At 39.3% G+C, this 19,900-nt stretch overlaps 1 annotated feature.

Annotated features, from left to right (window-relative positions):
- Positions 19,188-19,482: a silencer, noted in NCBI's record as "tiled region #2818; HepG2 Repressive DNase matched - State 6:EnhF". NCBI's record gives its function as "represses a minimal TATA promoter and a strong SV40 promoter by Sharpr-MPRA in HepG2 cells {active_cell/tissue: HepG2}" and the evidence as "EXISTENCE:reporter gene assay evidence [ECO:0000049][PMID:27701403]".

Raw genomic sequence — 19,900 nt, 5'->3', positions numbered from 1 at the left:
TACCTTAAATTTGTATCTGACCACATCAGTCCCCATTTAAATACAGTCAAAGACTACACATCGCCTATAGAATTCAAGTTCTTCTGGGGGACCTGGAAGGCGCTTAGCACCTGGCAGCCACAGATTAACCTCTATAAATTCATTTCTTCCTAACCTCTTAACTTATACCTATTCAGGCCAAAATAATATCAACTGCTTATGATTCCCTGTAGACCCTATGCTATCTTAGGAATTTCTGCTTTCACTTGTGCTGTTCCTTCCATCTGGAACACCTTTCCCACTTATTTTAATATTGCTTATCCTTAAAGACCCAACTTAGTTATAGCCTCTCACAGGAAGTCTTGTCTGAACTTCTAGGCTGAACTAGGGTCATTCTGCTCTGTATTTCCGTAGCACAAGGGGAAGATTTCCAGCTCAGTACTTAATGTATTGTATTGAAATTATTAAAATTATCTACTAAGTGTCTGTTTCTTCTACTAGACTCTAAGGACTCTAACACTCACTAATGCAGGGACCGAAACTTATTCATCTTTGTAATTCCACTGCTGATTTCAGCCGGCTTTTGGTAAACATTTGTTGGACTAAATTGAGCAAGAGGAAGTGTCTATAAGGACTGGGGTTGGAAGCCTTTATACTTATAAAATCAGAGATTAGACTCTTGGTTGTTTCACTGTAGACCAAGGAGCTGAAATGACAATAAAGCAATAACATAGGTGCAGAATGAGATTGAGAAAAGAAAGTAGCCACAAGCTGTAGGCATTTTAAAAAAATCTTAAGGGAGAGACTGACATCAGCTGTGAACACATGGGGTGCCCGCACCAGCGGCCTGAAATCTAGACCCTTCACTCTCCCATTCCTGTCCCTCCGAAGCATGTGGCCCTTAATTCTACCATTACAACTTGTTTTATGAGATTTCTCCTGTAGAAAATAATTGCAAGTTCAAGGAGTATAATTTTCCAAAGTCCAGACAAACCTGATTCTCTTTATAATTAAAACAAAGCCAGCCCTTAGGAAATCAACACATCAAGTCCCAGTATGAAGAAAAGAAGGAGCTGAAAGTAGAGGCCAAATGACTTATCCAATGACAGTTTTGAGAAAGTTTTCTGATGACTTTTTCAAGTAGCAACTCAAACCCACAGTGTGAAAGCCTTCTATTTTCTACTGAGGAATCAATGGGACCTGGAAGATTCAATTGGCAGTTTTCATTTCTTGCTCAGCACCAAAGACTTTGCCTACATGGCCTTTGCCTAATGGCAAAGTTGGCTTTTATTTTATGTTCCGGGGCACATACAAGGCAATGTGAGTTTGAAGGGCCTAGGGCATGTGACTAATGTTCCATCTCTCACTTTATGGAGACACCTCTTTAAATGTTATCTAAGTAACTGAAACACAACAAAACCCCACAATGAACTCTGGATAGAGGAGAGAGCATTCATTCAAAAGGGGAGTTGCCTTTTAGAGCCTCATGCTTGTGTTTGGCTTTATTACAGCAGCAAACCAGTCAAGAAGAGCTGATCTTGTGGCTTCAGATTTTCCAAGCCAGATGTACAGATGAATGTGAGGATCAACAACAAAAAGCATATTTGAAAAACTTTTAAGTCCACTTGAACTTGTATAGGTTTCACATGCACTCTGTGATCCCAAGGCTTATGAAAGAGTGTGTGTTCTAGGACCATGGTGCCTGGAGGCTTGTGGATAGGCAGGTATTTCTACACCAAGATATTGAGACAACTGTCACCCTGGAAAATGAGCATAGCAGCCTCTCCCTCTTCTTCCCACACTTCTGGACAGAGATTTTGCCCCAGGAGAGTGTAACATGTGCTGACACAGCAGGATGAGGTGGGAAGAGTAGCAGTGACAGGAGAATGAGCAACGAGGTCAAAAGTAATAGCAGAGTAGCAGAAGGGAGGTGATGGTCTGGGAAGAAGGGCAAATCTGACAACCGTGCATTATGTTGTCAAATGCTAAACCAAGTGAATCTTACTCCCTTTTAGACTGTGGGAAAAGGGGATTATGACTGAGTGTGGTTTTCCACATCATTCTCTAGCGATCATACCTCTCCAAATGTTAAGTGAGACTACATTGGCTACAAGACATGTAATTGAGCCCAGATAGAAAGGGCCTGATAAAGGTAAGATGGTAAATATTGCCCACATACAACTGCATACATTTAGAAATGAAACTTTCCTTGAAGGCGTCCTCTTTATACTGTGCCATGCATTGTCAAAGCTTCCCTAACCATTTCTTGTGTTACCAGATAGTTGTTCTTGTATATGACATTGCAAGAGTGAGTGGCAGCAGTGCACACTCAGTGCCAAATATCTGCAGCATGAAGGAGGTAGCCATTGGTGCTGGCCAATGGTGGGTTCTTCAGAAGAAATGAACATGTTGCATAGAACAAAATGTGGCCTCCAGTGAGCCCCAGATGGACTGGCCTTGGTAAGACTTCCAGAGGAAAATCTTACCTGCTGAATTGCCTTCTGTCTAAATCACAACCTCTATGGCTTGGTCAAACCACAAATGATGATAAAGATGCCAGGGCCCTCCTTTCTTACTATCCTCTAGTATTTATAGAGTGAATTGTGGACTAACACTGTGGGTATCCTCACACCTGTATCTCATTTAATCTCCATGGCCCCTGTGGTGATGAGGTTGGTATTACCACTCCAATCTCATCTCCTACCACCTTTCTCCTTTTGCTCACCCACCCTGGCCACACTGGCCTTCTTGTAGTTCTTCCCTTACCCCTAGGCCTTTACAACTGTGCTTCATGCCTCAAAGTTCTCCCCACATTCTTCGCAGAGCTAAATCCCCAGTTGAGTTTTTTCTTAAACACCACAACCCCAGAAAGGCTTTCCCTGACCATCTCATCAGCCTACTCTTCCAATCCACCCATCTCTATCCCTACACGTTCTATCATCCTACTCTGTCTTATTTTTCTTCAAGCACTTTTAACTATCTAAAAATTACATTAGCCTTTATTGGGCTATGTTGGTGTTGCTTTCTGTGTCTGCAACTACAACGCAGGATTCATACGAGCACAGGCTTTGTCTGTCTTTACTGATTTGTAGTGTGGATCAGTGTTTGATGTATGTTAGTAGAGTGGTAAATATTTGTTGATTGATTCAGTGAATGAATGATGTAAGAAAAATGTATAGTTAATTGGCTTGCTCAATATTACTCAGTTAGGCAAAAGAGGAGATATGACTCTAAGCACTGGTCTTTGGATTTCAAATTCCATGCTATTCCCTGTACACAAGGTTGCCTCCATTGCAAAACTTATATTTGGTTTTAATGTTTATTCTAGGGAAAAAATAAATGAATCCAGACAGGAATCCTAAGGCCACTGTCACAATTCTTAAGATTTAGAGCTCACATATTATCAGACATTTAATTTTTAGTCTTACCAAAGTTGAAAGCAACAGTTTCCCTAAGAGAATGCAAAGCTATACAACCAAAACTATAGCTTCTCCATGAGTGGGAGCTATAAAACCGCCATGAATTGAGGGTATTTCCAGTCAATTTACAATAAAGAGTGATATCACTAATGGAACTTCAAAAAGCTTGTCATCTTGATTTCAAGTGAACAGATTATAATTCTGATTAGACTGTTTTTCTCAAACACTCACCACTTACGTGGATGATAGTGATGTTCCTTACTCCTCATGTCCCCAAACAGAAGAAATCTCTTCCTTTTGATATCGATTGCACTTGGTTTATACTTCTCGTGTGTTCCCCATCATAAGATCTACATATATAAAAAAACTAAACATATTATAAAATCTCTACTGTTTGTTTAATATGAATTAAACATTTATATTACTATATCAAGTATTTTTCAGATGTAGAGTGCTATATTACATATCTTTATATAAAATTTGGTATGTAAAATTCCTGAATAAGGAAATAATTCATAATTCCACACAATTGTACAGATAAATTATAGAATCATCTTATCAAGTTTTAAAAAAATTCTACTGGAATTGTGTTTTATATTTTATGTTTATTTTATTAAACTTATAAGTTAATTTTTTTTATTATACTTTAAGCTTTAGGGTACATGTGCACAACGTGCAGGTTAGTTACATATGTATACATGTGCCACGTTGGTGTGCTGCACACATTAACTTGTCATTTAACATTAGGTATATCTCCTAATGCTATCCCTCCCCCCTCCCCCCACTCCACATCAGGCCCCGGTGTGTGATGTTCCCCTTCCTGTGTCCATGTGTTCTCATTGTTCAATTCCCACCTATGAGTGAGAACATGCGGTGTTTGGTTTTTTGTCCCTGCGATAGTTTGCTGAGAATGATGGTTTCCAGCTTCATCCACGTCCCTACAAAGGACATGAACTCATCATTTTTTATGGCTGCATAGTATTCCATGGTGTATATGTGCCACATTTTCTTAATCCAGTCTATCATTGTAGCACATTTGGGTTGGTTCCAAGTCTGCTATTGTGAAGAGTGCCGCAATAAACATACATGTGCATGTGTCTTTACAGCAGCATGATTTATAATCCTTTGGGTATATACCCAGTAATGGGATTGCTGGGTCAAATGGTATTTCTAGTTCAAGATCCCTGAGGAATCGCCACACTTGACTTCCACAATGGTTGAACTAGTTTACAGTCCCACCAACAGTGTAAAAGTGTTCCTATTTCTCCACATCCTCTCCAGCACCTGTTGTTTTCTGACTTTTTAATGATTGCCATTCTAACTGGTGTGAGATGGTATCTCATTGTGGTTTTGATTTGCATTTCTCTGATGGCCAGTGATGATGAGCATTCTTTCATGTGTCTTTTGGCTGCATAAATGTCTTCTTTTGAGAAGTGTCTGTTCATATCCTTTGCCCACTTTTTGATGGGGCTGTTTGTTTTTATCTTGTAAATTTGGGTGAGTTCATTGTAGATTCTGGATATTAGACCTTTGTCAGATGTGTAGATTGTAAAAACTTTCTCCCATTCTCTAGGTTGCCTGTTCACTCTGATGGTAGTTTCTTTTGCTGTGCAGAAGCTCTTTAGTTGAATTAGATCCCATTTGTCAATTTTGGCTTTTGTTGCCATTGCTTTTGGTGTTTTAGACATGAAGTCTTTGCCCATGCCTATGCCCTGAATTTTATTGCCTAGGTTTTCTTCTAGGGTTTCTATGGTTTTAGGTCTAACATATAAGTCTTTAATCCATCTTGAATTAATTTTTGTGTAAGGTGTAAGGAAGGGATCCAGTTTCAGCTTTCTACATATGGCTAGCCAGTTTTCCCAGCACCATTTATTAAATAGGGAATCCTTTCCCAATTTCCTGTTTTTGTCAGGTTTATCAAAGATCAGATAGTTGTAGATATGTGGCATTATTTCTGAGGGCTCTGTTCTGTTCCATTGGTCTATATCTCTGTTTTGGTACCACTACCATGCTGTTTTGGTTACTGTAGCTTTGTAGTATAGTTTGAAGTCAGGTAGCGTGATGCCTCCAGCTTTGTTCTTTTGGCTTAGGACTGACTTGGTAATGCGGGCTCTTTTTTTGGTTCCATATGAACTTTAAAGCAGTTTTTTCCAATTCTGTGAAGAAAGTCATTGGTAGCTTCATGGGAATGGCATTGAATCTATAAATTACCTTGGGCAGTATGGCCATTTTCACGATATTGATTCTTCCTACCCACGAGCATGGAATGTTCTTCCATTTGTTTGTATCCTCTTTTATTTCCTTGAGCAGTGGTTTGTAGTTCTCCTTGAAGAGGTCCTTCACGTCCCTTGTAAGTTGGATTCCTAGGTATTTTATTCTCTTTGAAGCAATTGTGAATGGGAGTTCACTCATGATTTGGCTCTCTGTTTGTCTTATTGGTGTATAAGAATGTCTGTGATTTTTTCACATTGATTTTGTATCCTGAGACTTTGCTGAAGTTGCCTATCAGCTTAAGGAGATTTTGGGCTGAGACGATAGGGTTTTCTAGATATACAGTTATGTCATCTGCAAACAGGGACAATTTGACTTCCTCTTTTCCTAATTGAATGCCCTTTATTTCCTTCTGCTGCCTGATTGCCCTGGCCAGAACTTCCAGTACTATGTTGCATAGGAGTTGTGAGAGAGGGCATCCCTGTCTTGTGCCAGTTTTCAAAGGGAATGCTTCCAGTCTTTGCCCATTCAGTATGATATCGGCTGTGGGTTTGTCATAGATAGCTTTTATTATTTTGAGATACGTCCCATCAGTACCTAATTTATTGAGAGTGTTTAGCATGAAGGGTTGTTGAATTTTGTCAAAGGCCTTTTCTGCATCTATTGAGATAATCATATGGTTTTGGTCCTTGGTTCTGTTTATATGCTGGATTATGTTTATTGATTTGCGTATATTGAACCAGCCTTGCATCCCAGGGATGAAGCCCACTTGATCATGGTGGATAAGCTTCTTGATGTGCTGCCGGATTCAGTTTGCCAGTATTTTATTGAGGATTTTTGCATCGATGTTCATCAGGGATATTGGTCTAAAATTCTCTTTTTTTGTTGCATCTCTGCCAGGCTTTGGTATCAGGATGATGCTGGCCTCATAAAATGAGTTAAGGAAGATTCCCTCTTTTTCTATTGATTGCAATAGTTTCAGAAGGAATGGTACCAGCTCCTCCTTGTACTTCTGGTGGAATTTGGCTATAAATCCATCTGGTCCTGGACTTTTTTTGGTTGGTAAGCTATTAATTATTGCCTCAATTTCAGAGCCTGTTATTTGTGTATTCAGAGATTCAGCTTCTTCCTGGTTTAGTCTTGGGAGGGTGTATGTGTTGAGGAATTTATCCATTTCTTCTAGATTTTCTAGTTTATTTGCATAGAGGTGTTTATAGTATTCTCTGATGGTAATTTGTATTTCTGTGGGATTGGTGGTGATATCCTCTTTATCATATTTTATTGCATCTATATGATTCTTCTCTCTTTTCTTCTTTATTAGTCTTGCTAGCATCCTATCAATTTTGTTGATGTTTTCAAAAAACCAGCTCCTGGATTCATTGATTTTTTGGAGGGTTTTTGTGTCTCTATTTCCTTCAGTTCTGCTCTGATTTTAGTTATTTCTTGCCTTCTGCTAGCTTTTGAATGTGTTTGCTCTTGCTTCTCTAGTTCTTTTAATTGTGATGTTAGGGTGTCAATTTTAGATCTTTTCTGCTTTCTCTTGTGGGCATTTAGTGCTATAAATTTCCCTCTACACACTGCTTTGAATGTGTCCCAGAGATTCTGGTATGTTGTGTCTTTGTTCTCACTGGTTTCAAAGAACATCTTTATTTCTGCCTTCATCTCGTTATGTACCCAGTAGTCATTCAGGAGCAGGTTGTTCAGTTTCCATGTGGTTGAGCAGTTTTGAGTGAGTTACTTAATCCTGAGTTCTAGTTTGATTGCACTGTGGTCTGAGAGACAGTTTGTTATAATTTCTGTTCTTTTACATTTGCTGAGGAGTGCTTTACTTCCAACTAAGTGGTCAATTTTGGAATAAGTGCAGTGTGGTGCTGAGAAGAATATATATTCTGTTGATTTGGGGTGGAGAGTTCTTTAGATGTCTATTAGGTCCACTTGGTGCAGAGCTGAGTTCAATTCCTGGATATCCTTGTTAACTTTCTATCTCGTTGATCTGTCTAATATTGACAGTGGGGTGTTAAAGTCTCCCATTATTATTGTGTGGGATTCTGAGTCTCTTCCTAGGTCTCTAAGGACTTGCTTTATGAATCTGCAGGCTCCTGCATTGGGTGCATATATATTTAGGATAGTTAGCTCGTCTTGTTGAATTGATCCTTTACCATTACGTAATGGCCTTCTTTGTCTCTTTTGATGTTTGTTGGTTTAAACTCTGTTTTATCAGAGACTAGGATTGCAACCCCTGCCTTTTTTTGTGTTCCATTTGCTTGGTAGATCTTCCTCCATCCCTTTATTGTGAGCCTATGTGTGTCTCTGCACGTGAGATGGGTTTCCTGAATACAGCACACTGATGGGTCTTGACTCTATCCAATTTGCCAGTCTGTGTCTTTTAATTGGAGCATTTAGCCCATTTACATTTAAGGCTAATATTGTTATGTGTGAATTTGATCCTGTCATTATGATGTTAGCTGGTGATTTTGCCCGTTAGTTGATGCAGTTTCTTCCTAGCCTTGATGGTCTTTACAATTTGGCATGTTTTTGCAGTGGCTGGTACCAGTTGTTCCTTTCCTTGTTTAGTGCTTCCTTCAGGAGCTCTTTTAGGGCAGGCCTGGTGGTGACAAAATCTCTCAGCATTTGCTTGTCTGTAAAGTATTTTATTTCTCCTTCACTTATGAAGCTTAGTTTGGCTGGATATGAAATTCTGGGTTGAAAATTCTTTTCTTTAAGAATGTTGAATATTGGCCCCTACTCTCTTCTGGCTTGTGGAGTTTCTGCTGAGAGATCCGCTGTTAGTCTGATGGGCTTCCCTTTGAGGGTAACCCGACCTTTCTCTCTGGCTGCCCTTAACATTTTTTCCTTCATTTCAACTTTGGTGAATCTGACAATTATGTGTCTTGGAGTTGCTCTTCTCAAGGAATATCTTTGTGGCATTCTCTGTATTTCCTGAATCTGAACGTTGGCCTCCCTTGCTAGATTGGGGAAGTTCTCCTGGATAATATCCTGCAGGGTGTTTTCCAACTTGGTTCCATTCTCCCCGTCACTTTCAGGTACACCAAGCAGACATAGATTTGGTCTTTTCACATAGTCCCATATTTCTTGGAGGCTTTGTTCATTTCTTTTTATTCTTTTTTCTCTAAACTTCTCTTCTCACTTCATTTCATTCCTTTCATCTTCCATCACTGATACCCTTTCTTCCAGTTGATCGCATCGGTTACTGAGGCTTGTGCATTCGTCATGTAGTTCTCATACCTTGGTTTTCATCTCCATCAGGTCCTTTAAGGACTTCTCTGCATTGGTTATTCTAGTTAGCCATTCGTCTAAACTTTTTTCAAGGTTTTTAACTTCTTTGCCATGGGTTCGAACTTCCTCCTTTAGCGTGCAGTAGTTTGATCGTCTGAAGCCTTCTTCTCTCAACTTGTCAGTCATTCTCTGTCCAGCTTTGTTCCATTGCTGGCGAGGAGCTGCATTCCTTTGGAGGAGGAGAGGTGGTCTGATTTTTAGAGTTTCCAGTTTTTCTGCTCTGTTTTTTCCCCATCTTTGTGGTTTTATCTACCTTTGGTCTTTGATGATGGTGATGTACAGATGGGGTTTTGATGTGGATGTCCTTTCTGTTTGTTAGTTTTCCTTCTAATAATCAGGACCCTCAGCTGCAGGTCTGTTGGAGCTTGCTGGAGGTCCTCTCCAGACCCTGTTTGCCTGGGTATCAGCAGTGGAGGCTGCAGAACAGCGGATATTGGTGAACAGCAGATGTTTCTGCCTGATCGTTCCTCTGGAAGTTTTGTCTCAGAGGAGTACCCGGCCAGCCGTGTGAGGTGTCAGTCTGCCCCTACTGGGGTGTGCCTCTCAGTTAGGCTACTTGGGGGTCAGAGACCCCTTGAGGAGGCAGTCTGTCTGTTCTCAGATGTCCAGCTGCATGCTGGGAGAACCACTACTCTCTTCAAGGCTGTCAGACAGGGACATTTAAGTCTGCAGAGGATTCTGATGCCTTTTGTTTGGCTGTGCCCTGCCCCTAGAGTTGGAGTCTACAGAGGCAGGCAGGCCTCCTTGAGTTGTGGTGGGCTCCACCCAGTGAGCTTCCCACCTGCTTTGTTTACCTACTCAAGCCTGGACAATGGCGGGCACCCCTCCCGCAGCCTTGCTGCCACCTTGCAGTTTGGTCTCAGGCTGCTGTGCTAGCAATGAGCGAGGCTTCGTGGGCGTAGGACCGTCCAAGCCAGGTACGGGATATAATCTCCTGGTGTGCCGTTTGTTAAGCCAGTTGGAAGAGCACAATATTAGGGTGGGAGTGACCCGATTTTCCAGGTGCCGTCTGTCACCCCTTTCTTTGACTAGGAAAGGGAATTCCCTGACCCCTTGCGCTTCCGAGGTGAGGCAATGCCTTGCCCTGCTTTGGCTCACGCTCGGTGTGCTGCACCCACTGTCCTGCACCCACTTTCTGACACTCCCCAGTGAGATGAACCCAGTACCTCAGTTGGAAATGCAGAAATCACTCGTCTTCTGCGTTGCTCATGCTGGGAGCTGTAGACTGGAGCTGTTCCTATTCGGCCATCTATTATAAGTTAGTTTTTAAAGAATTGTCATATTTATAGTATTCAGTCTTCACACTCATAAGCATGAAATATGTTTCAATTTATTTGGTGCTTTAAGTATATAGATTTCAAATATATATTTAGTGTTTTAAAATAGGTCCATATATATGCATATATATACACACATATACATTTATACACACACAGACATATATAAAATATATATAGGTTTTACATGAAGAAAAATACAAAACTCAACTAAAGTATATAAAAAAGACCCATGTACCTGAGTAATATATATAGTATATATGTATAGAAGCATATATATTAAATAATATATGAATCATTTCATTTATGGTTTTACAATGTTTTTGAATTTAAAAACAATTTTTTAAATTAAATTTTTAAAATTTCAATAGTTTTTGGGGAATAGATGGTGTTTGGTTGCATGGAAAAGTTCTTTAGTGATGATTTCTGAGATTTTGGTTCACCTATCACCCGAGCAGTGTACACCGTACCTAATGTGCAGTGATGTTGAGCATTTTTTCATGTTTTTTGGCCATTTGTGTGTTTTCTTTTGAGAATTGTCTATTCATATTCTTAGCCCGCTTTTTAATGGGATTTTTTTTTCTTGCTTACTTATTGGAGTTCCTTGTAGATTCTGGATATTAGTCCTTTGTCAGATGCATGGTTTGTGAATATTTTCTCCCACTCTCTTGATTGTTCACTCTGCTGATTATTTCTTTCACTGTGCAGCATTTTAGTTTAATTAGGTCCCATCGATTTATCTTTGTTTTTGGTGCATTTGCTTTCGGGTTCTTTGTCATGAAGTCTTTGCCTAAGCCAATGTCTAGAGCAGTTTTATGAATGTTATAGAATTTTAATGGTTTCAGGTCTTAGATTTAAGTGTTGGATCCATCTTGAGTTGATTTTTGTATAAGGTGAGAGTTGAGGATCCAGCTTCATTCTTCTACATGTGGGTTGCCAATCATCCCAGTACCATTTGTTGAATAGGGTGTCCTTCCCCCACTTTATGTTTTTGTTTGCTTTGTCAAAGATCAGTTGGCTGTAATTATTTGGCTTTATTTCTGGGTTCTCTATTCTGTTCCATTGGTCTACATGCCTATTTTTATGCCAGTATCATGCTGTTTTAGTAACTATGGCCTTGTAGTATAGTTTGAAGTCAGGTAATGTGATGCCTCCAGATCTGTTCTTTTTGCTTAGTCTTGCCTTGGCTATGTGGGCTCTTTTTTGGTTCCATATGAATTTTAGGATTGTTTTTTCTATTTCTGTGAAGAATGATGGTGATATTTTGATAGGAATTGCATTGAATTTGTAGCTTGCTTTTGGCAGTATGGTCATTTTCACAATATTGATTTCACCTATCTATGAGCATGGAAACAAATGTGTTTCCATTTGTTTGTGTTGTTGATGATTTCTTTCAGCAGTGTTTTGTAGTTTTCCTTGTAGAGATCTTTTACATCCCTGGATAGGTATATTCCTAAGTTGGTTTTTGTTTTTGTTTTTATTTTTGCAGCTGTTGCAAAAGGAGTTTCAGTCCTGATTTGATTCTCAGCTTGGTCACTGTTGGTATATAGCAGCGCTGCTGATTTGTGTACATTGATTTTTGTATCCTGAAACTTTACCGAATTCATTTATCAGATCTAGGAGCTTTTTAGATGAGTCTTTAGGGTTTTCTGGGTATACGATCTTACTGGCAAACAGTGACAGGTTGACTTCCTCTTTACTGATTTGGGTGCCCTTTATTTCTTTCTCTTGTCTAATTGCTCTGGCTAGGACTTCCAGTACTATGTTGAATAGCAGTGGTGAAAATGGGGATCTTTGTCTTGTTCCAGTTCTCAGAGGGAATGCTTTCAGCTTTTCCCCATTCAGTATTACGTTGGCTGTGGGATTGTCACAGATGGCTTTTATTACCTTAAAGTATGGCCCATCTATGTCAGTTTTGCTGAGGGTTTTAATAATAAAGCGATGCTGGATTTTGTCAAATGCTTTTTTTACATTTATTGAGATGATCATATGATTTCTGTTTTTAATTCTGTTTATGTGATGGATCACATTTATTGACTTGTGTATGTTAAACAATCCCTGTATCCCTGGTATGAAACACACTTGATCATGGTGTTTTATTATTTTGATATGCTGTTGGATTTTGTTAGCTAGTATTTTGTTGAGGAATTTTGCATCTTTGTTCATCAGGGATATTGGTCTGTGGTTTTTCTTTTTCTGTTATGTCCTTTCCTGGTTTGGGTATTAGGATGATACCGGCTTCATAGAATGACTTAGGGAGGATTCTCTTTTTCTCTATTTTTTATAATAGTTTCAGTAAGAATGGTACCAATTCTTCTTCAAATGCCTGCTAGAATTCAGCTGTGAATTCATCTCATCGTGGACTTTTTTGTTGGCAATATTTTGTTATGGTTTCAATCTCACTACTTGTTATTGGTTGGTTCAGAGTTTCTATTTCTTCCTGATTTAATCTAGGAGAGTTATATATTCCCAGGAATTTATCCATCTCCTCTAGATTTTCTTGTTTGTGTGTGTAAAGATGTTCATAGTAGCCTCAAATGATCTTTTTTATTTCTGTGGTATTGGTTGTAATAACTCTTGTTTTATTTCTAATTGAGCTTATTGGGATCTTCTCTCTTAACTTCTTGGTTGATCTTACTAATGGTCTATCAATTTTGTTTATCTTTTCAAAGAACCAGTTTTTTTATTTCATTTATCTCTTGTATTTTTTGTTTCAATTTCATTTAGTTCTGCTCTGACCTTTGTTATTTCTTTTCTTCTGCTGGGTTTGGGTTCGGTTTGTTGTTGATTCTGTAGTTCCTTCAGATGTGACCTTAGATTGTCTATTTGTGCTCTTTCAGATTTTTCGATATAAGCATTTAATGTTATCAACTTTCCTTTTAGCACTGCCTTTGCTATATCCCAGAGGTTTTGATAAATTTTGTCACTATTATTTTTCACCTCAAATACTTTTTAAAATTTCCATCTTGATTTCATTGTTAACCCAAGAATCATTCAGGAGCAGATTATTTAATTTCCATGTATTTGTATAGTTTTGAGAGTTCCTTTTGGAGTTAATTTCTGGCTTTATTCCACTGTGGTCTGAGATGGTACTTGATATAATTTCAATTTTCTTAAATTTATTGAGACTTGTTTTGTGGCCTATCATATGGTCCATCTTGGAGAATGTTCCATGTGCTAATGAAAAGAATGTATATGCTGCACTTACAGGGTAGAATGTTCCGCAAATACCTGCTAAGTCCGTTTGTTTTAGGGTGTAGTTTAAGTCCATTGTTTCTTTGTTGACTTTCTGTCTTAATGACTTGTCTAGTGCTATCAGTGGAGTGTGGAAGTCCCACACTATTATTGTGTTGCTGTCTATCTCATTTGTTAGGTCTAGTAAAATTGTTTTATACATTTGGGAGCTCCAGTGTTAGGTGCATACATATTTAGGACTGTGATATTATCCTTTTGGACTGATCCTTTTATCATTATATAATGTCCCTATTTGTCTTTTTTAACTCCTGTTGCTTTAAAACTTGTTTTGTCTGATATAAAAATAGCTACTCCTGCTCACTTCTGGTGTCCATTTGCATGGAATATCTTTTTCCACCCCTTTACCTTAAGTTTATGTGAATCCTTATGCATTAGGTGATTCTCTTGAAGACAGCAGATACTTGATTGGTAGATTTTTATTCATTCTGACATTGTGTATCTTTTAAGTAGATCATTTAGGCCATTTACATTCAACATTATTATTGAGAAGTGAGATACTCTTTTATTCATCATGCTAGTTGTTGCCTGAATATCTTGATTTCTTTTTCATTGTGTTATTGTTTCATAGGCCCTGTGAGATTTAAAGGAGGTTCTATTTTGGTGTATATAGAGGTTTTGTTTCAAGACTTTTTAACTCCTTTTAGCATTCTTGTAGTGCTGGCTTGGTAATGGCGAATTCTCTCAGCATTTCTTTGTCTGAAAAAGACTTTATTTCTCCTTCATTGATGAAGCTTAGTTTTGCTGGATACAAATTCTTGGCTGGCAATTATTTTGTTTGAGGTGGCTAAAGATAGGACCCCAGTCCTTTCTGGCTTATGGGGTTTTTGTTGAGAAATCTGCTGTTAATCTGATAGGTTTTCCTTTATAGGTCACCTGATGCTTTTGCCTCACAGCTCTTAAGATTCTTTCATTCTTCTTGACTTGAGATAACCTGATGACTATGTGTCTAGGTAATGATCTTCTTATGATGAGTTTCCTAGGTGTTCTTTGAACTTCTTGTATTTGGATGGCTAAATCTCTAGTGAGGCCAAGGAAGTTTTTCTTAATTATTCCCTCAAACAAGTTTTCCAAACTTTTGGATTTCTCTGCTTCCTCAGGAACACCCAAACTTTCTTGAAGGCTTTGTTCATTATTTAAAATTTCTTTGTATTTGTCTTTGTCTGATGGAGTTAATTTGAAAGCCTTGTTTTTGAGCTCTGAAGTTCTTTCTTCTACTTTTTCTAGTCTATTTTTGACACTTTCCAGTGTATTTTGTATTTCTCTAAGTGTGTCTTTCATTTCCAGAAGTTGCGATTGTATTTTCTTTATGCTATTTCTCTGGATAATTTTTCATCTATATCCTGTATTTTTTTTTTAATTTCTTTAAGTTGTTTTTCACCTTTCTCTAGTGTCTCCTTGAGTAGCTTAATAATCAACCTCGTGAATTCCTTATCTGGCAATTTAGATATTTCTTCTTGGTTTGGATCCATTACTGGGGAGGTAGTGTGGTCTTTTAGGGGTGTTATAGACACTTGTTTTGTCATATTACCAGAATTAGTTTTCTGATTCCTTCACATTTGGGTAGACCATTTCAGTGGAAAAACCTGGAACTCAGGAGCTGCTGTTCAGATTATTTTGCACCACGGGGTGATCTCTTGATGTGGTACTCTCCCACGTCCCCTAGGGATGCTTCCTTGGAGCTGGACTGCAGTGATTGTTATTGCTCTTTTGGATCCTGCCACCCAGCAGGGCTACCAGGCTATGGGCCAGTGCCAGGATTGTCTGTAAAGAGTCCTGTGTTGTGATCTGTCTTCAGGTCTGCCAGCTGTGGATGCTAGCACCTGCCCTGGTGAAGGTGGCAGGGAAGTGAAATAGATTCTGTGAGCTCAGGTTCTCCTTGGGTGGGGCTTGCCATGGCAACTGTGGGGGATGGGGAGTGGTTCTCAGGCCAACAGGATTATGTTCCAGAGGGGATTATGGCTGCTTCTGTCACCATAGTTCTCCCATGGATCCCATGCAGTTGACAAGGCCAGTCTCACTCTCTCCCTGCAGGCAGCCTGCAGGTGGGACTCAGACCTTGCCCCCAGGTTATAAGCTTCCCTGCTGAGAAAGCAAGCATAGTTTTCAGGCTTCACCCCTCCCCCGCTGCCCACATTCTTGGCCGCAGCTCCTGCATTTCTTTCTGCAGCAGTTCCAGTTTGACCCCTGGATTCTGCTCAAGATAAACTGCATCCAGTCAAAATTATTTCAATGTTCAGTTGGAAGCTTCTTTCACCCTGTGACCCTTCCCAAATCCTGCCAGTTGCCTTCCCCAAGGGCCCCCATGAGTATAGTCATGCATGGCTTCCCTGGGCTTGAGCTGGAGAATGGGAGTGCCTACAAGGCTCTTCCCACTGCTGCTTCTACTTTTATATTTCATGCTAAATCCATTTCAACTCTTGGTAAGGTTAAATCCTTCTCCTGTAATCTGGATTTTCAGGTTCCCCAGTGCGGATATGTGTTTAGAGTCAGGCTTTCCCCATCTCGCACTTCGGGAACTCAGTTTATCACCTGTCTCGTGGAACTTGCAGTGGCATGTCACTTCTTTCCTTTTTTTTTTTTTTTTTTTTTTTGAGATGGAGTTTTGCTCTTGTTGCCCAGGCTGGAGTGCAGTGGTGCGATCTTGGCTCACCACAACCTCTCCCTCTCAGGTTCAAGTGATTCTCCTACCTCAGCCTGCCAAGTAGCTGGGATTACAGACATGTGCCACCATGGCTGGCAAATTTTTTTTTTTTTTTTTTGGATTTTTAGTAGAGATTGGCTTTCTCCATGTTGGTCAGGCTGGTCTTGAATTCCCAACCTCAGGTGATCTGCCCACCTCGGCCTCCCAAAGTGCTGGGATTACAGGCGTGAGCCACCATGCCTGGTTGGCATGTCACTCCTTTCAAAGGATTCTGTGAATTCTTTTGGCTTTCCTGGTACATTCCTGTGGTGATTCTTAGAGCAAAAGTCCACAGTGTGAGTCCCACATGCTGTTCTGTCTGTCCAGGTGAGAGCTGCATGTTAGCCCTGTCTCCTATCTGCCATCTTCCTCCACTTAAAAACAAAACTTTCTGATAGCTTTGTTATATATCATCATATGATTATTACACATATTATTTAACTGTAGTCCTCATATTGTCTACTTTAGGAGTTTTCACATTTTTACTTTAAATAATATTAAAATGAACACCCACAGGTCATTATATGCATCTCTGATTATTTCCTCTAGATTTTCAGTAGTAGATTTATAAGATTGAAATATATAAGCTTCTGAAAGACTCTTGATACATACTACCAAATACTTTTCCAAAAAGGTTGAGCTAATTTACATGCCTTCAGCATCAAAATTTAGTTTACTGTGATTGTCTGTTAATCCTTGCTAATTTCTAGGCAAACATAGTATCTAACTGGAATTTTAGTTCACATTTTTTGTATTATGGTAAATATTTAACAACTAGCTGTCTGGGGAGGTGGTGGGGGCTCATTTGTAGCATTTACTGATCTTTGAAATGGGCCACCATGGCCCATTTCAAGCCACCAACACAACATGACTGAACATAGAGTTGGGAAGAGGTATTCAGTGGACCCTTGCAAGTTGGAATGTGTTGCACACCACGGGAGGAAGTATACTATAATGGTTAAATAATGAGTCTGGAGTTGGCCAGACCTGGGTTCCTATTCCCATTACTTACTAACTTTGTGATCTTGGGTATGCATACCATACACAACTGTTTTGAAGATTTAATAATTTAATAAAATTATTTAGTACAGTTCCTGGCCCAGATTAAAAACTCAATAATAGCTATTATTATTATTTTTCATATAGCCCTAGTAATGTTTATTTTTTTCTTTTGTGAATTGTCTTTTCCTATTCTTTGATCATCTATCTTTCAAGGTATTATTGTTTTTCTTATTGACTTTTATAAGCACTTTACGTATTGAGGGTATTAGCCATTAGGAGTATTTTTTTTGCTTTTCAGGAGCATGTTTTGCTTCTTAATTTTGTGTGCTTGTAGACACTTCAAAGTTAAAAGTAGGTGTTTAGAGATGTTGAGATTTCCCTTTATGATTTCTTTCACTGTATTTATGCTTGGAAAATATCTTACCCCATCAGACATCATATAAATATTCAAAAAAATTCTCTTCTAGTTATTTTCTGATTTAATTTTGTGATTTAACTGTTTAAATTAAATTCTCTTAGAATTTATTTTGGTATACGATATGGGCAAGAAACTAATTTTTAAATCTATAACCTACTAAGCTAGGTACTAGCTATATACTATGAACTTAATCTCTTTTTACCTCAGTTTCCTCATTTGTAAATTAAATACAATAATACCTACTTCATAAGTTTGGTAAGGTAAGTACGAATTATAACATGTAATGTGCAGAGAGCAGTGTCTGACACATTCTGAATGTTAGATAGGTTAGCTATCATTATCGTCATCAGCATCATATTATTATTACCATCACCAACTTCATTTTTTTGTACTTCATCCCTTTCCATATATATATATATATATATATATACGTATATATACATACACATACATATGTGTGTGTGTATATATATACGTATATATATATATATATATATATGTGTGTGTATATATATACTTCTAAAGAAGTTGCTTTATTAACAATACAAACAAGATACTACCACCTCCAACAAATAAATTCCAGCAAACTTCTGCTTGGGGCTGGAGGCTAGCTTCTGTGTCTATAAACAAAGCCATGAGAGTCACCATGGAAAAGATGTTTTTCTTAGCCTTGAGCTATTAGAAAGTCTTGAGACTGCTGACTTTCACCTTGCAGTTCTTTATACACAGAAACAGGGTGCTCCAGGATGCTATCATTCCCGTAGCCTAAACCTAAAGTCAGGCCTTTGACCTTTTTGTCATGGAAACTCTTTGGTGGGGTGATTCAGTTCTACAAAGAACAGTGCTGGATGGACACAAGATGGGTCCTTTTCAGATACACAGAACGTCTCTAGGGAAATTTTTCCGAATAAAGAGACACCATTGCCTTACAGACACTTAAGCATGGATTGTCAGGAATGGGCCATGCTGTGATTTCAGCTGCCCATGGAAAGACATCTGCCTCTCCCCAAGTTTCCTCAAACTCGGAAACAGAGCATACTGCTGTTCCACACTTCAGTATAAGCCTAATATGGGAAATAAGTGCCTTTTGGAAAGGTACTTAGTTTTTGCTGTGAATGAATGAATTCCTTGTCTGATTATTCTCACTAAGGTGTTCATGGCTATCTAAGGTTTTGGCTGAAAGTAGGGAGACCTGGCAGCGCTATCTAATGCACACTAAAGGAGGAAGTAGGGGGTCAGTGCAGCTTCAGGCAAAAGGATAGAAGGATGCATAGGGAGTATCAACACTGTCTAAAGTGTCTGTGTAAAGAGACCACCAAACGGCTTTGTGTGAGCAACAAGGCTGTTTATTTCACCTGGGTGCAGGCGGGCTGAGTCTGAAAGGAGTCAGCAAGCGTGGTGGGATTATCATTAGTTCTTATAGGTTTTGGGATAGGCGGTGGAGTTAGGAGCAATGTTTTGCATGCAGGGGGTGGATCTCACAAAGTGCCTTCTCAAGGGTGGGGAGAATTACAAATAATCTTCTTAAGGGCAGGGGAGATTACAAAGAACCTTCTTAAGGGTGGGGGAGAAACAAATCACAATGGTGGAATGCCATCAGCTAAGGCTATTTTCACTTCTTTTGTGGATCTTCAGTTGCTTCAGGCCATCTGGATGTATAAGTGCAGGCCACAGGGGATATGATGGCTTAGCTTGGGCTCAGAGGCCTGACAAACACAGCCTGGCCCTGCTTAAGACAAACATAGCTCATCCCCAAAACATCCTGGTTCTGCACAAGGGGCCTTTCTATCACAGTGTGCCACAAGATGTTTCATCAAAGAGATTTTGTGCATGTACTTCCTCCTGAACAGCTCTGAACAAACCAACCAAATGCAGTGGCCATAATCTGTAGGATATTGCTTTAACATTTCATTTCCCTCGTTTCAGCCCTTCAGTCAAATGGGTGTCAGTGGGTTGCCCCTCCTTCCAGGGAAGGTTTTTTAGGTATGCTTGGTTTGTTACTGGGCTAGTGAACATGTAAGCAGAAGAGACGCTTTTACAGGGAGCTGCAGCCCGGCCTGCAAGTGGCTCCTACCATGTTGCTCTGAAATTGTGTGACCCTGCACATGGTCATTCCATTTGAAGGTGCTGCTGGCTATAGTGTGTCAGGCTGGATGCACCCTCTTATGTCACTTAGGGTTCACTTATTCTTTCTCGAATGCTTTTACTTTCTTTACATAATCTTAGTGTCTGACCTATATCATTATCCTTGTCTCTGAAGAATTTCTGATAACATTTCTTGCAAGGCAAGTCTGCTGAAAACAAATCTCCTAATTTTTGTTTGTCCAGGAAAGTCTTTATTTCTCCTTCACTTTTAAAGGAT

The sequence above is a fragment of the Homo sapiens genome, chromosome 5, assembly GCF_000001405.40.
Source record: "Homo sapiens chromosome 5, GRCh38.p14 Primary Assembly".
Taxonomy (NCBI): domain Eukaryota; kingdom Metazoa; phylum Chordata; class Mammalia; order Primates; family Hominidae; genus Homo; species Homo sapiens.
This window is presented reverse-complemented; position numbering and strand designations above follow the sequence as displayed.